The sequence below is a fragment of the Homo sapiens genome, chromosome 3 (assembly GCF_000001405.40).
Source record: "Homo sapiens chromosome 3, GRCh38.p14 Primary Assembly".
Taxonomy (NCBI): domain Eukaryota; kingdom Metazoa; phylum Chordata; class Mammalia; order Primates; family Hominidae; genus Homo; species Homo sapiens.
Window position 1 is genome coordinate 104028491 of NC_000003.12, and position 4072 is coordinate 104032562.

General features: G+C 40.8%; 1 annotated feature.

Moving 5' to 3' along the window:
• Nucleotides 2381–2905: an enhancer, noted in NCBI's record as "H3K27ac hESC enhancer chr3:103749715-103750239 (GRCh37/hg19 assembly coordinates)". NCBI's record gives its function as "activates a minimal SCP1, AML or CMV promoter by ChIP-STARR-seq in primed H9 embryonic stem cells {active_cell/tissue: H9 hESC(primed)}" and the evidence as "EXISTENCE:reporter gene assay evidence [ECO:0000049][PMID:30033119]".

Consider the following 4072-nt stretch of genomic DNA (forward strand, 5'->3'; position numbering starts at 1 on the left):
ATGTAAAACTACATTTACTTTGGAACAAAACTGCCATAATCTCAAAAGGCTATCTCATTTTGCCTTCCCACCTACATCAAATAAATGTTTATGTTATCCTGCAATCTCACCAGTAACTGAATTGTCAGTATTTGGAATTTTTGCCATTCTAATAGGTATATAATGCTAGCTCGTTGGTGTTTTAATTTGCAATTCTCTAACAACAAATTATGTACAGCATCTTTTCATATTTATATTTGCCATATTATATTGTTTTGGTGAGATATCCGTTCAGGTATTTTCCCTGTTTTTAAAATTTGGCTGTTTTCTTTATATTTTGTGTACATATTTTAGATACAAGGATTTATCAAATGTGTTTTTTGCAAGTATTTTCTTCCAGTTTGTGGCTTGTCTTTTGATTCTATTGGGAGAATCTTTCACAAAGAAGAAATTTTAAATTTTCATAAAGTCCAACATCATTTCTTCTTTTATTGATCATTCTTTTATAGCTTTATCTAAAACCTCCTCATCAAACTCAGTATCACCTAAAATTTTTCTGAGTTTTCTTATAAAAGATTTATAATTTTCTGACTTGGATTTATGTTTCCTTATTAAACTTAATTTTTTTTTCTTTTTTTTTGAGATGGAATCTCACTCTGTCATCCAGGCTGGGGTTCAGGGGAGCCATCTCAGCTCACTGCAACTTCTGCTTCGCAGGTTCAAGTGATTCTCCTGCCTCAGCCTCCCAAGTAGCTGGGAGTACAGGTGAGTCTCACCATGCCCATCTAATTTTTTGTATTTTTAGTAGAGATGGAGTTTCACCGTGTTAGCCAGGATGGTCTCGATCTCCTGACCTCGTGATCTGCCTCCCTCAGCATCCCAAAGTGCTGGGATTACAGGCTTGAGCCACCACGCCTAGCCCAGTTAATTTTTATAAAGGGTAAGTTCTGTGTCATGGTTTTATCCACATGGATGTCCAAATTTTTTAGCACCATATGTTTAAACACCATCATTCCCCATGTCCCCATGGAATTGTCTTTTTCCCTTTATCAAAAACCATTTGATTTGATACATGTGGGTCTGTTTTTAGACTCTCTGTTCTATCAATCTACATGTCTGTGTCATTTTTCAGGAATATCACACTGTCTTGCTTACTACAGCTTTATAGTAAGTCTTGAAATTGGGTAATATTAGAGCTCCATCTTTGTTCTTCAGTATTTTCTTAAGTATTCTAGATTTTTTGTTTTTCCACATGAATTTTAGATTATATTTGTGAATATTAAGAAAATAGCTTGCTCAGATTTTGAATGAGATAGTATTGAATGTATTAAGTTGGAAAGAATTGACTTATTAACAACACTGAATCTTCTAACCCACATATTCCCCTCACCCCTTCTTCCACCTGACCAATGCTGGTGCTTCCCTTGTGGCTCTATGTGATGTAGCATGCCCTCTCCTCTTACAAATGTGAATAACAAACTTGCTATTCAATAGCAGTCTTTTCCTGAAGTGTGGGATTCATCTAACTTGCATTATAAAACCTACATTTAAAACATGAGTAAAGATAATTATGAACCCATCTAATAATATATCTAAAATTTTATTAGGCGATGTTGCTCAAAGTTTAAATGTTTTATAAACAAATGTATGTGTGTGTGTATGCACGTTCATATATATGTTTTTAAAACGTGTAATAGAAATTGCCTCGAAACTCTGAAAATGTGAAATAATTTACTCTTTCCTGCACTAATTGAGAGTATGTATTTCCTCACATCGTTGACACTTTAAACATGCTTTTTAAGCATGATTTTAGACATAAAATTGTGATTTTAAAAATACTGTTTAAAAATGAACAGTACTGGTTTTAAGCATGATTTGTTATAATATTTGTCAATATATTAAAGGAAAAGAAGTTTTGTTGTCAAAGTACATATTTTATCAGTTGTGGTACTTAATTTAGTAGCATTTAAAATATGTGTTTCTCTGTAAATTGCATATTTATTTAGCAAATAAATTTAAATTTAAATTTATTTAGCAAATAAATATGCAATTAGTTCTTATGTACTATTCAAGAGTTCTGGGAGGAGTTTTGGCAAGATGGCTGACTAGAGACAGCTGAGAAATGCCTTTTCAATGAAGAGGAACCAAAATATTGAGTAAACTATCAGGCTTTGAACAGATCTTTTGAGGGAAATTACTGAATGTTGATACAGAGGCAACACAGACACCACGGTTGAAAAGAGAGGAAGCTGAGAAGGCTGCTTAAAGTCACTGGGCATCAGGACTGGCCCACGGACCCAAACGAGACTTAAAGAAAGGGTGAGTGAAGGAACCCCTGGGTACCACATTTCCACTGCAGACCTCTGGGATCCCATCTGCAGGAGTTCCTATGACCTCCAAAGACCTTTGAAGTGGCAGGGGAAGCTGCCTGGGGAACAGTCAGGGACACAGCTTGAAACTGCACAGAGCCCGGAAGGTTTTGCTGTGCTGTGAAGCTGCAGGGAAATGCAGCTGTAAGTGCCTATCACATAAGGCTCTCCATCTTGCACTGAGTGGTTGTAGCTCCTGCTGTCTGCAGGGCTGAGAGACAGCAGAGCTACCACAGCCGGAGGACAAAGGTGCATTTGATCCAATTACCCCCTTGTCTGCTGGCTCCTCCCATGACTGCCTTCCTGGCCACTCCTGAAAGAGGATGCCCACAGCACAGCCTCCACTGCCCTGCCTGAGTATGTTGCTGGTAGCCTGGGAGAAGTTTATACACCAGCACAGTCAGTGCTTGACCACAAGGAGCCAGTGGACAAACCCATGGGCTTGGTCCCAATCCCAATTCCCCAGGACTTGAGAACACCACCCAGGAGAGTCAAGCTGAGACCTGTGGCCTAAGCTGAAGCTGGGGAATAGCCCCATACTCAGAGCACAGAGAAGAGGGTGGCATGGGTTCATGTGCTGGCACAGGAGCCGGGCATCCCTTCCTTTGCAAACTGGACTGGGAAGGGTGTAACCTAATAGCCAGCCACGGCTTCTTTACCAGGAAGGCCCCTGGGTTAGAAGATCTGGAATAGCTCAACAATCTGGGCACAGAAGGTGTGGGACAAGCCTAGCAGATCAGGCCTTCTCACAGGGCAGATGGAGAAAGACCCACCAGGTTGGGGGACTATGAGCTGGATGGGTCTCAGAGCCATCTGCTGTGCTAAAAGTCCCAGACCTGTGGAAAACATCCCAGTTGCATACCTGAAGTGCCACTGCCCTGTCCAGGGATCCTCTGCCCTTGACCTACCACATCACCAGAGCAGCCACAGACATACCCCATAACTTGCTCTGATTCCAGCAAGCACAGGGGACTGGTAAGTTGCCAGGGAGTCATGGAACTCTTGACACAGACTGACCCTAAGGGGAGGGGAGCACAGGCTGCCAAATTACCCCTTGGGGCCAAGGAAACATGAGCATGGCACCAATGATTGAAGTGGAAACCATCAAGGCCCAGAAATGGACTTAGAGAGGGAGTCGTCTCTTGCCCCTGCTTTTCCTCTCTAGAGGACTGCTGCAAGAGACACTAAAATACAAAAGGGTGAACTGCAGCTGAGTAGGAGCATATCTGCTGGCTCTTACCCTTAAGCACCATTAATGGACTGCAACCTAAATTACACTACCCAATAAAAATACACTGTTTCAACATATGGTGTCTGTGAAACCCACTTCAGGAACTTATCTACAACCAAGGAACCCCTACAGGGCCTTGGTCCTCTGAAAGCACCTAGATATGAAGCCAATTGACAATACATAGCATAAGCCACAGTCAAATCCTCATGGGGAAAAATAATATAAAATCAAAAAGCCCAATCCAAATGATAGCAAATTCAAAAGAAAAAGTAGCACCAGCTCCCTCAGATAGGAAGGAATCAGCACAAGAACTACAGCAATTCAAAAAGCCAGAGCACTTCCTTATCACCAAAGAATCAACTAGCTCCCTAGCAATGGATTCTAACCAGCTTGAAATGTCTGGAATGACAGGCATGCAATTCAGAATCTGGATGGCAAAGAAATTCAATGAGAGCCAAGAAAAAATTAAAATCCAATCCAATGAAGCCAGAAA